Source organism: Homo sapiens, chromosome 17, assembly GCF_000001405.40.
Source record: "Homo sapiens chromosome 17, GRCh38.p14 Primary Assembly".
Taxonomy (NCBI): Eukaryota; Metazoa; Chordata; class Mammalia; order Primates; family Hominidae; genus Homo; species Homo sapiens.
Window position 1 is genome coordinate 43,495,564 of NC_000017.11, and position 13,007 is coordinate 43,508,570.

The following is a 13,007-nucleotide window of genomic DNA, read 5'->3' on the forward strand; positions in this document are numbered from 1 at the left end:
TGCCGTGTCTGGCCTACGTATTATATAATAAATGTACCAGAGTGCTGTGGAAACAAGGGAAAGAGCAGATAACTTTTCCTGGGGATAATACTTTTGAGCTTATACTTTACAGCACCATGTTGGAGAACCACCTCTGCAACCCTGGAATGGGATATATGACATTTGAGCTCCCGATATCGTGGGTCAGAGGAGAAAAAAACTGGGTTTCCTACATGAAACCTCTGTAATTAACTCTCCTAGAAAAGAAGAGTTTTGGCTGGGCATGTCGCTGACACATGTAATCTCAGCACTTTGGGAGGCCAAGGCAGGAGGATTGCTTGAGGCCAGGAGTTTGAGACCAGCCTGGACAAGTAGTGAGACCCTGTTTCTAGAAAAAATTTAAAAATTAGCCAGGTATTATGGTGTGCGCCACTAGTGTCAGCTATTCAGGAGGCTGAGGTAGGAGGATTGGTTGAGCCCAGGAGTTTGAGGTTGCAGTGAGCTTTGATCAGGTCACTGCACTTCAGCCTGGGTGACAGAGCAAGATCCTGTCTCAAAAAAACAAAACAAAACCAAAAAACAAAAAAAAAGTTTTGATCTTAGCAGGTTACAAATGCTGCCTTCTCTTCTTTGGCTAGATGATTGCTGCCAATGTCCTTTCCAAAGAAGAATTTCCAGACTTTGATGAAGAGACTGGCATTCTCCCTAAGGTGGATGATGAAGAAGGTAACTAGTCAGTTGGATCGAGAAGGGTAATTGGCAAGTTGAGCCATTGAATTGGGTGATTTGCCTGTAGTTTAACCCAGTGGCTATTAATCATTTGTTCTTTGGATCTCACTACTCATCTCTCAAAAAAAAAAGGATCTCACCATGATGGAAGCAAGAAGTTCATTTTTCTGACAAGTGCTTATGTATTATTATTATTATACCTGTTGCTTATAATAAGCTCTCAGGGCCAGGCATGGTGGCTCACGCCTGTAATCCCAGCACTTTGGGAGGCCGAGGCCAGCAGATCACCTGAGGTTAGGAGTTTGAAACCAGCCTGGCCAACATGGTGAAACCGTGTCTCTACTAAAAAAATACAAAGATTAGCTGGGTGTGGTGGCGCATGCCTATCGTCCCAGCTACTCGGGAGTCTGAGGCAGGAGAATTGCTTGAACCCAGGAGACGGAGGTTGCCGTGAGCCGAGATCGCGCCACTGTACTCCAGCCTGAGTGACAGAGTGAGACTCTATCAAAAAAAAAAAGCTTTCAGGATATAAAAAGTTATAATTGTATTTTTGGGAGTAAATTTGATCTCATATTCTTAGTAATTATTCTGAAAACCCTGGATCCACCTAGATTACCTCTGAGTTGCCCTGGAAACAACTTTTAACTCAGCCCATAATGACTTTTTTGAAATTATGAAATCTTATGATAGAATTCTCTAACTTATATTGTAGTAGTAAGTGAGCACCTACGTACTCACCACCCAGCTTAAGAAGTAGAATTTTACAAGCACCTCTGAAGCCCCTACATGCTCCCCTCTGCTTAGATCTTCTTTCTTCCTTCTAGGAGTAACCACCGTCCCACATTTGTGTTAATTACTCCCTGGCTTTTCTTTAGTTTTACCATCTACGTATCTATCCCTAAACATTATATTGTGTTGTCTATTTTTGAACTTAACTCATTTTTCTTTTTTTTTGACTTACATATTTTTGATATTTATGTTGATATTTATATTGGTATTTCACTCACTTTTATTGCTATAGAGTGTTTATATATAAATTGTCTATAATTTATCCATTTTACTTTTGATGGACATATGAGTTGTTTCTTGGTTTTTGGTTAATCTTTGTGAATAATAGTATTTTGAAATTGCTATATTGTCTCTTAGTGCTTATGTGCAAAATGTTCTTTTTTCCCTAAATGCATAGAATTACTGGGTAGGCCAAGTGTCATGGCTCAGCCCTGTAATCCCAGCACTTTGGGAGGCTGGCTGAGATGGTAGGATTGCATGAGCCTAGGAGTTTGAGACCAGCCCTGGCAACATAGCTAGGCCCTGTCTTTACAAAAGAAAAAAAATTAGCCAGGTGTAGTGATGTGTGCCTGTACTCCCAGCCACTGGGGAGGCTGAAGTGGGAGAATTGCTTGAGCCTGGGAGGTCGAGGGTGCAGTGAGCCATGGTCATGCCACTGTGCTGTAGCCTGGGCAACAGAGCAACACCCTGTCTTAAAAAAAAAAAATTACTGGGTAGTAAGAAATGTGTGTGTTTGACTTTGCTGGGCAGTTCCAAATTGTTTTCTGTTGGTTTCTGTACCGTTTATACTTCTGCCATAAGTGTAAGCAAGTTCCGCTTGGTGTTGTTCAATTGTCGAACTAATTTTTTACAAATTTATTTTGGGTTAAGAATTATTCCACAATGAAGTTGGATGGCAAATGCCCTAGTACCATTTAGAATGTCAGGAGAGCATTTTCTCACAGGCTTAACTTCTTTTCAAAGTAGGTCTGATCAGTTCTTGGGCTGGAGCACAAATGCTCTAGAAATGGCTGGTGATGGGGGAATAGTCACCTGGGTTAGAGTTTTACTTGCATTGCTGTCCTTTGACCTGGGAAGGTGTTTTTTTTTTTTTTTTAATTTGAGACGGGGTTTCGTTCTTGTTGCCCAGGCTGGAGTGCAGTGGCACGGTCTTGGCTCACTGAAACCTCTGCCTCCCGGGTTCAAGCGATCCTCCTGCCTCAGCCTCCCAAGTAGCTGGGATTACAGGTCTGTACCACCAAGCCCAGCTAATTTTTTTGTATTTTTAGTAAAGATGGGGTTTCACCATGTTGACCAGGCTGGTCTGGAACTCTTGACCTCAGGTGATCAGCCCGCCTTAGCCTCCCAAAGTGCTGGGATTACAGGTAAGAGCCACTGCACCCGGCCTTTTTTTTCTTTTTTTTTTTTAAGACAGAGTCTCACTCTGTCACCCAGGCTGGAGTGCAATGGCTTGATCTCAGCTCACTGCAACCTCTGCCTCCTGGGTGCAAGCTATTCTCCTGTCTCAGCCTCTTGAGTAGCTGGGACTACAGGTGCCCACCACCAAGCCTGGATAATTTTTGGATTTTTAATGAGATGGGGTTTCACTGTGTTGACCAGTCTGATCTCAAACTCTTGACCTCAAGTGATCCTCCTGCCTCAGCCTGCCAAAGTGCTGAGATTACAGGCGTGAGCCACCATGCCCCACCAGGGGAAGCTGTTTTTGATAAAGATTGTTGGTACCTATGGAAATTAATTGTCTTGGTGAAAATTGTTATTTTTTCTTGTTTATGGCTAATTCTTCTTTTGGGGGGACTTTTAGATGAGGACCTTGAGATTGAATTGGTTGAGGAAGAGCCTCCATTCCTGAGAGGGCACACTAAGCAAAGCATGGACATGAGCCCCATTAAAATTGTCAAGGTGAGAATTACTGGACCTTTAACCTGGAAATGTCAAGTGGACTTCTTTTTCTAAAGTAATGGGTCAGGTTATTAGATCTGCGTAAGTAGAACTTGGGCCACAGAAAGTATTACTGGCTGTTAGCCAGGGTCTATAATAGTTTTATTTTAAATGGAGGTTGGGTTGGCTTTATTGCTTTTGCCTGTTGAATTCTTTTGTGCTCCTTTTGTGTATTTTGGGTGGAAGCAGAGATAGATAGGAATGCTTAATCTGCCATCATTGCCTTTGCCTGGATTCCTTAGGGCTTGAATCTTGCAGATTCAAAGGCAATTTTGAAGGATTTACTTGAGCACTTGGGGCTGGCCACCATAGAAAGCTGTAGCACTGGGTGCTGGAGAGGGCAGAGCTGTAAGGGGAATCCAAACCAGAATTCATAGAACAATAAACATTTTAGGTATGGAAAAGGGTATATTTAAAGGTCTCCCAGCCCAGCACATATGAAATGCTTATAATCCACGCATATCATTCTTCTGCGGTGTTCTTCTCATATGGTCATCTCATAGCTGCATGACATTGTTAGTGACAGGGAATTCACCAGCCCTTAAGGAGGTACATTTCATCATGAGATGGATCTGATCGCTAGTTCTTCTTTAGGCATACCTGAAACCTCGCTCACTGAAGTGTCCACATTGGTCTTGATTTTGGTTCCCAGGGTCATACAGAAAAATTCTTATACCTTTCTTATGTCCTTCATACGTTTAAAGGTAGCACATCATTCCTATCTCTTTTGGGGTTCTCATATTCAAACTAAACATCCAGTTCCTTCAATGATGTAACATTGTCCTTGTTCATTTTATCTGAATATGCTACGGTTTATCCATTTCTTTCATATAGTCTGTTACATTGATAAGAACTTTATTCCAGATGTAGTCTCATGTTTTAGATTACAGGAGCTTAACTTCTACATATTATTTCCCGGACATTTAATCCATGTTGTTTTTTCTTCTGTTGCACCAGAACCCAGACGGCTCCCTCTCCCAAGCAGCAATGATGCAGAGTGCCTTGGCCAAAGAAAGGCGGGAACTCAAACAGGCCCAGCGGGAAGCTGAGATGGATTCTATTCCCATGGGACTCAACAAACACTGGGTTGACCCTCTGCCTGATGGTAGGACCCTTGGAGGGGTGTATGGACCTTGTTTAAAAATCTGAGCCTTTCAGAACACAGGGAGGGGTCACTCCCGGCACACACTAAAAATTTACCCTTGGGCCGGGGCGGTGGCTCATGCCTGTAATCCCAGCACTTTGGGAGGCCAAGGCAGGTGGATCACCTGAGGTCAGGAGTTCGAGACCGACCTGGCCAACATGGTGAAACCAAGTCTCTACTAAAAAAATACAAAAGTTAGCCAGGCATGGTGGCACACACCTGTAATCCCAGCTACTCGGGAGGCTGAGGCAGGAGAATCGCTTAAACCCAGGAGGTGGAAGTTGCAGTGAGCTGAGATCAGGCAAGTGTACTCCAGCCTGGGTGATAGAATGACACTCCATCTCGAAAAAAAAATTTACCCTTGGTTTTTCACTTCAGTTAGAGCATGTTTGGTTTTTTCTTAAACACATGTTTAAAACCAAAAATGTTTTAATAGCCATGGTCAAATCATTAGACTGAGTTTTTCTTCTGAATCACTTTAAAAATGTTATTCTAGCGCGGTGTCTCATGCTGTAATCCCAGCACTTTGGGAGGCTGAGGCGGGCGGATCACAAGGTCAGGAGATCGAGACCATCCTGGCCAACATGGTGAAACCCCGTCTTTACTAAAAATACAAAAAATAGCCAGGTGTGGTGGTGCGCGCCTGTAGTCCCAGCTACTCGAGAGACTGAGGCAGGGGAATCGCTTGAACCCTGGAGGCGGAGGTTGCAGTGAGCCAAGATCGCGCCACTGCACTCCAGCCTGGCTACAGAGTGAGACTCCGTCTCAAAAAAAAAATTTTTATTCTAAAGGTAATACAGCTTTGAAGCTTCCTTTTTCATATAATTCTTTGTGCAGTAAATATTAGCTACTAGATATAGTCATAACAAATACTTATTAATTTAATTTGTGTTTGGCAACTGGGGATACGATTTGAATTAAACAGATATGATCCCTGCTTTTATGCGCTACAACTTAGTCGGGGATATGGATATTAATTAAATAATCACCAAATAATTAAATTATGATCAGTGCCATGTGAAGAAGTACAGGCAGTGTAATTGACTGTGGTGGGTCACTTCCCTGGGGAAATCGAGACCCAAAGGATAAATTGGACTCAGTCTGTCAAGTGGAGATGGGATGGAGGTTGGGGAGTATGTTCCAGCCTGAGGAGTAGCCCGTGTTGGGTTTGTGGGGTGGGAAAGAAGGAACTGAAAGAAGGCTTGTGTGGATGGAATAGAGAGAGCAGTGGGCAGTGGTAGGGGATGAGATAAGAACATCAGGCCAGGGCTTTGTAGGTGGCATTAGGAAGCTGGGCTCAATTCTAATAGCACTGGGAGATGTTGAAAAGTTCTTTTGTTGTTGTTGTTTTTGTTTCTGAGACAGAGTTTTGCTCTTGTTGCCTAGGCTGGAGTGCAACACCATGATCTTGACTCACTGCAACCTCCACCTCCCTGGTTCAAGTGATTCTCCTGCCTCAGACTCCCAGGTAGCTGGGATTACAGGCATGCACCACCACGCCTAGCTAATTTTTTGTATTTTTAGTAGAGACGAGGTTCCTCCATGTTGGTCAGGCTGGTCTCGAACTCGCGACCTCAGGTGATCCCCCCCCCATCTCAGCCTCCCAAAGTGCCGGGATTACAAGTGTGAGCCACCGTGCCCAGCCAGATGTTGAAAGTTTGCAGCTGGCACATGGCATGACCAGAGTTGCATTTCCAAAGGATGATTGAGGGTGCCCTGCAGAATGAGTTGGATGGGGCACATGTGATGATTTAGAAAGCTTTTATGAAGAGAGAGAATGGTGGCTTGAACATGGAGGTAGCAAAGAGGAGGGATGTACTTGAGAAAAGTAATTTGTTGAATGTGGGGCAACAGGAATGGTCAAAGATGACTTCCAGGTTTCTGGTATGAGCACTAGGATGAATGATGGGAACACTGGAGGAGAAATGGGTTTGTGGGGAAAGATGGTCAAATTCCGTTTTGGACTTGTGTCCGAGGCAACTAGAGGACATCTTAGGTTGAGGTATCCAGTGTAGAATTGAGTATAAGAGCTCAGAAGAGAGGTCTGGGCTGGAGACAGAAGTTTGGGAATTGTGTTAATTTAGATATCAGTTTGGCTGCATGTAATAGAGATTCAAATATTAGATTAGGTTCGGCATGATGGCTCACGCCTGTAATCCCAACACTTTGGGAGGCCGAGGCAGGAGAATTGCTTGAGGCCAGGAGTTCAAGACCAGTCTGGGCAACATAGTAAGACCTTATCTGTATTTTATTTTATTTTGTTTTGTTTTGTTATTTTAGTTTAGTTTAGTTTAGTTTTTGAGATGGAGTCTCACTATGTTGCCCCAGCTGGAGTGCAGTGGTGCAGTCTTGGCTCACTGCAACCTCTGCCTCCTGGGTTCAAGCGATTCTCCTGCCTCAGCCTCAAGTAGCTGGGACTACAGGTGACCGCCACCACGCACGAGTAATTATTTTGCATTTTTGGTAGAGACAGCGTTTCACCATGTTGGTCAGGCTGGTCTCGAACTTCTGACCTCAAATGATCTTGCCCACCTTGGCCTCCCAAAGTGCTGGGATTACTGGTGAGCCACCGTGCCTAGCCCTTGTCTCTATTTTAAAATTAAATTTTTAAAAACGACAAAAATAAAAACCAAAATATTAGATTTACAGTAGAAGGTTGGACATATTCGTTCATTGTTTAACAATATCATCTTCCATTTCCTCAGAATAAACCCATTCATTCCCTTTTACCCTTTAGTGAAATGTTCTCCATGACCCTCCTTTGGCCTCTGCCTAAGCTCACTTATTTGGTTAGTAGGCATAAGTATTTTTTCGTAGCCAGCTTTTGGCATCAAATTTGTAAAATGTTTGCATATGCTAGAGAGCCACTAAAATTCTGCTCATTTTTTTTTGCTCCTCAAGCCACAATTCCAAGGTGAATCTTGAAAATATAAGCTAGGTCTGGGCAAGGTGGCTCACACCTGTAATCCCAGCACTTTGGGAGGCTGAGGCAGACAGATCACTTGAGTTGGGGAATTTGAAACCAAGCTGGGCAATGTGGTGAAACCCTGTCTCTAAAAAAATACAAAAATTAGTCCAGGCATGGTGGCTCATGCCTGTAATCCCAGCAGTTTGGGAGGCTGAGGCGGGTGGATCACCTGAGGTCAGGAGTTTGAGACCAGCCTAGCCAACATAGTGAAACCCCATCTGTGCTAAAAACAGAAAAATTAACAGATGTGGTGGCACGCACCTGTAATCCCAGCTGCTAGGGAGGCTGAGGCAAGAGAATCACTTGAACCTGGGAGGCGGAGGTTGCAGTGAGCCGAGATCACGCCATTGCACTCCAGCCTGGACAACAATTGCGAAACTCCATCTAAAAAAAAAAAAAAAAAGTTTAGCCGTGTGTAATCACGTGCACCTGTATTCCCAGCTACTCAGGAGGCTAACGTGGGAGGATTGCTTGAGCCCAGGAGGTGGAGGTTGCTGAGCTGAGATCTCGCCACTGCACTCCAGCCTGCTGGGCGTCTGAGCCAGACCCTGTCTCAGAAAAAGAAAAAAATTAATCTGAGAGAAACCAGGCACAACAGACCACATATTGTATGAAGTATCCAGAATAGAACCCGTAGACATAGAAAGTAGACTAATGGTTGCCAAGGGAAAGGAAAAGGGAGGAATGGGGAGTAACTGCTAATGGGTACAGGGTTTCTTTCTGATATGATGAAAATACTCTAAATAGTGGGGATAGTTGCACAACTTAATGAATATACAGTAAAACACTGAGTTAAACACTTAAAAAGAGTAACACGGAGACCTGGCTTGGTGGCTCATACCTGTAATCCCAGCACTTTGGGAGGCCAAGGAGAGAGGATTCCTTGAACCCAGGAATTTGAGGCTGCAGTGAGCCGTGATTGCGTCACTGCACTCCAGCCTGGGAAACAGAGCAAGACCCTGTCTCAAAAAAATAAAATAAAATAAAAAAAGTGTAACATGGTTTGTGAATTACATCTCGATATAGCAGTTATTTAAAAAGGGGAGAGTGCTGCGCATGGTGGCCATACCTGTAATTCCATTACTTTGGGAGGGTGAGATGGGTGGATTGCTTTAGCCCAGGAGTTCGAGACCAGCCTGGCAACATAGAGTGACCTCTTCTCGCTTGAGCCCAGAAGGTCGGGGCTGCAGTGAGTCAGGATTGCACCACTGCACTCCCACTTGGATGACAGAGCAAGACCCTACCTAAAAAAAAATAATTCCAGTGTCAAGCAGTCAGGTCTTCACTTCTCTCAACTAACCTTTTTTCTGACATCACAGGTGTGTAGCACCACTTGTTACAGTCTCTTTCCCATTCCCTGCTGCCCCTTCTATATTCTTTTCTTCACATTAATTTGTTTCTTTGAGTACTTTTGATCACGGGTCGCTGAATTGAGATGCTGCATGTGCAGTGCCCGCATGCCATTTTATTTTTTTCCTGGTACATCTTGAGGTAGCTTGAGGACAATACTAAGTTGCCTGTTTTCCTTTCCAGCGGAAGGCAGACAGATTGCTGCCAACATGAGGGGTATTGGGATGATGCCCAATGATATTCCTGAGTGGAAGAAGCATGCCTTTGGGGGCAACAAAGCCTCTTACGGAAAAAAGACCCAGATGTCAATCCTTGAGCAGAGGGAGAGCCTGCCCATCTACAAACTGAAGGAGCAATTGGTCCAGGTGAGAAGACTTTTATGATGTATTGGTGGGGAGTAGGGTTATTGTCTAAAAGAGGGGTGATATTTTTAAACTGAAACTAACGGGACAAGTATGTGCCTACTTGAAGTGGCTCATCCAAAAGAGTTAAGAAAGAAGGATAAAACTTTCTAAATACTTTTTTTTTAAATGGGGCTGGGCGCGGTAGTGGATGCCTATAATCCCAGCACATCAGAGGCCAAGGCAGGAGGATCACTTGAGCCTAGGAGTTTGAAACCAGCCTGAGGCAACATAGGGAATCTTGTCTCTACAAAAAATAAAAAATTTGGTGGGGCGTGGTGGCCCACACCTGTAATCCGGCACTTTGGGAGGCAAAGGTGGGCGGATCACAAGTTCAGGAGTTCGAGACCATCCTGGCCAACACGGTGAAACCTTGTCTCTACTAAAAATACAAAAAATTAGCTGGGCGTGGTGGCGCATGCCTATAATCCCAGCTACTCTGGAGTCTGAGGCAGGAGAATCGCTTGAATCAGGGAGTCGGAGGTTGCAGTGAGTCAAGATCACGCCGCTGCACTCCAGCCTGGCTACAGAGAGAGACTCTGTCTAAAAAAAAAAAAATTACCTGGGTGTGGTGGTCCATGCCTGTAATCCCAGCTACTCGGGAGGCTGAGATAAGAGGATTGCTTGAGCCTGAGAGGTCGCGGCTACAGTGAACTGCAATCACACCACTGCACTCCAGCCTGGGCGACCAAGTGAGACCCCATATCACAAATGTTTGTGTGTGCGTGTACAGACACACATACTTATGTATGTGTCTGTATATCTTCTTTTTCCTGGGGCCCCTAGAACAGTTTCCAAGTGGGCAGAGTATTGTGTTGCATGGACCAACAGCTCTGTTCAGTAATTAAAAATGAGGATACTCAGTCAATAAACTCATATGGGCAACTCATAGAGTGCTTCGGTACTCTATATTCTGGAGTTCTGATTTTAAGACCACCGAGTCTTCCTTGAGGTAATCAGGTTTACTAGTTTCTAGTGAATCCTTTCAACAATATCTTATATGTATACAAGCAAGTACAAATATATGCACACACACGCACACACATTTTATATGAGTACTGTGTGTGTTTACAGGTGGCAGTGATATTATATACACTGTTCTACATCTTTTTCCACTTAATGATATATCTCAGAGATTTGTGTGTGTGTGTGTGTATGTGTGTGTGACAGAGTCTCGCTTTGTGCAGGCTGGAGTACAGTGGCTTGATCTCAGCTCACTGCAACCTCTACCTCCTGGGCTCAAGTGATCTTCCCACCTCAGACTCCCAAGTAGATGGGACTACAAGGCATACACCATCATGCTCAGCTAGTTTTTTGTATTTTTTGTAGAGATGCGGTCTCACTATATTGTCCAGGCTGGTCTTGAACTCCTGGACTCAAGCAATCCTCCCTCCTTGGCCTCCCAAAGTGCTAGGATTACAGGCATGAGCCACTGTGCCTGGCCTTCTTAAACAAACAAACAAAAAAAATTGCCAGGCCAGGCACAGTGGCTCACACCTGTAATCCCAATACTTTGGGAGGCCAAGGCGGGCGGATCACCTGAGGTCAGGAGTTCGAGACCAGCCTGGCCAACATGGTGAAACCCTGTCTCTACTAAAAGTACAAAAATTAGCCGGGCGTGCTGGCGGGCACTTGCAGTCCCAGCTACTTGGGAGGCTGAGGCAGGAGAATCACTTGAATCCGGAAGGTGGAGGTTGCAATGAGCTGAGATCATGCCACTGCACTCCAGCATGGGCGACAGAGTGAGACTTCATCTCAAAAAAAAAAAAAAAGCCTTTTTTTATGGGCTGTATTATTTGGATAGGCTCTGGTTTATTTAACTAGTCCTATATCCATAGAAACATCGTTGATTGTAATCCTTGGCTGTTACAAACAACGTAGAAATAAGAAATAACTTTTGGGGAAAGATATAGAAATTTGGGAGTTACAGTGGGAAGGAACATTTTTTATGTATCTTTTAAATTCATTGTTGACTTCTTTAACTATATGTGTATATTCCTCTTTTCTTTGGTGTTAGAATATAGTAATTATTTTATTCCAGAGTAATGTAGATTTTAATGACCATATTTATATTCTGTTTAATGACCATATTTATATTCTGGCAGATTTTAATGACCATATTTATATTCTGTTGCTTTCAGGCCGTCCATGACAATCAGATCCTGATTGTCATTGGTGAGACAGGATCTGGAAAGACAACACAGATCACCCAGTACCTGGCGGAGGCAGGCTACACTTCCAGGGGCAAGATTGGGTGTACCCAGCCCAGAAGAGTGGCAGCTATGTCGGTGGCCAAAAGAGTGTCAGAGGAGTTTGGTTGTTGCTTAGGCCAAGAGGTAAGTAGATAGTGGAGTCGCTCGAAAAATACCAGAAGCAAAGGCCCAGGTCTCTTAATCTATCAAATGGAAATATTAATAATACTGCCTTTTTTCAGGTTTCTCCTGAGGGAGAGAGGGTTCCCATTGTCATAATCAGTCTGTTCAGAGTATAGTCTAAGACATACCTTACTATGAGGAAATTACTGTACATCTTGATCAGATTCTTAAGATTATGAGTGAGAGTGACTGGGCTGAAATCTTGCCTGGTGATTGGGAAAAGGAGACATTTGTATCCTAGGTTTTCCCCTTCTCTTCTGCTTTAGGTGGGCTACACCATTCGATTTGAGGACTGCACTAGCCCTGAAACAGTCATCAAGTACATGACAGATGGGATGTTGCTTAGAGAGTGCTTGATTGACCCTGACCTCACTCAGTACGCGATCATCATGTTGGACGAGGCACATGAGAGGACAATTCACACTGATGTGCTCTTTGGATTGTTGAAAAAGGTAACTAGATGCTCTTTAATGACCCCTCTACCTGTTGGAAGCTGAATTCTGGCAGTTGGATTTGAGTACCTGTGTCTTTGGGTAGTCCTTTTCAGTAAGCCACATAATATTTCTCTTCAGACAGTTCAGAAACGGCAGGACATGAAGCTGATTGTCACCTCAGCCACCTTGGATGCAGTGAAGTTTTCTCAATACTTCTATGAAGCTCCCATTTTCACCATCCCAGGTCGAACATATCCAGTGGAAATACTGTACACAAAGGAACCTGAGACAGATTATCTGGATGCCAGCCTGATTACTGTTATGCAGATTCATTTAACAGAACCACCAGGTAAGGGGAAAAAGCAATTTTCCTTTTTGGGAGGCCTAATTTTCCCTCTTAGGCCAAAAGTCCTCATATGGGTATCTTTTTTGCTAATCTTTTTAAAAACAACTTCTAAATATTCATCTCTCTGCAAGCCTCAGGCTTGTATGTTTGAAATGATGGTGGTTATAATGTCATATATAAACAAACTTGTATTGTTTACTTACTGGTCAGAATATGAATGCATATGTTCTGTTATTTGAAGTTTTATTAATATCACCATAGCCCTTGTATAGGACACACATACACACACAGAAAGTAGATGAATGTTCTATTCTGCTCGTAGGTGATATCCTGGTCTTCCTGACTGGTCAGGAAGAAATTGATACTGCTTGTGAGATCCTGTATGAAAGAATGAAATCCCTGGGACCTGATGTTCCAGAGTTAATTATCCTCCCAGTGTACTCTGCTCTTCCCAGTGAGATGCAGACCCGAATCTTTGACCCAGCTCCACCAGGCAGCAGAAAGGTAACATGGGCAAAAATGAAGCTTCCATGTGCCCTGAAACCATGTGTTGT

The 13,007-nt window shown here is 43.8% G+C and overlaps 1 protein-coding gene across 12 annotated transcripts in view; it reads left to right on the forward strand.

The window, feature by feature from the left end:
- The window catches only part of DHX8 (DEAH-box helicase 8), a 60,825-nt gene that overhangs the window by 11,589 nt on the left and 36,229 nt on the right, over nt 1-13,007 (forward strand). For 10 of the 12 annotated variants that reach the window (NR_136228.3, NR_136225.2, NM_001322219.2 and 7 more), the window contains 8 exons: nt 618-705; nt 3,299-3,396; nt 4,393-4,540; nt 9,081-9,262; nt 11,440-11,634; nt 11,940-12,125; nt 12,246-12,456; nt 12,776-12,957. Coding sequence is in view for 8 of the 12 variants with exons in the window: in NM_001322219.2 (NP_001309148.1) it covers nt 618-705; nt 3,299-3,396; nt 4,393-4,540; nt 9,081-9,262; nt 11,440-11,634; nt 11,940-12,125; nt 12,246-12,456; nt 12,776-12,957 (1,290 nt within the window). In the remaining 4 variants the exon portion in view is untranslated. The remainder of the gene's footprint in view (nt 1-617; nt 706-3,298; nt 3,397-4,392; nt 4,541-9,080; nt 9,263-11,439; nt 11,635-11,939; nt 12,126-12,245; nt 12,457-12,775; nt 12,958-13,007) is intronic. The other 2 variants (NR_136226.2, NR_136227.2) reach the window with 2 other exon arrangements.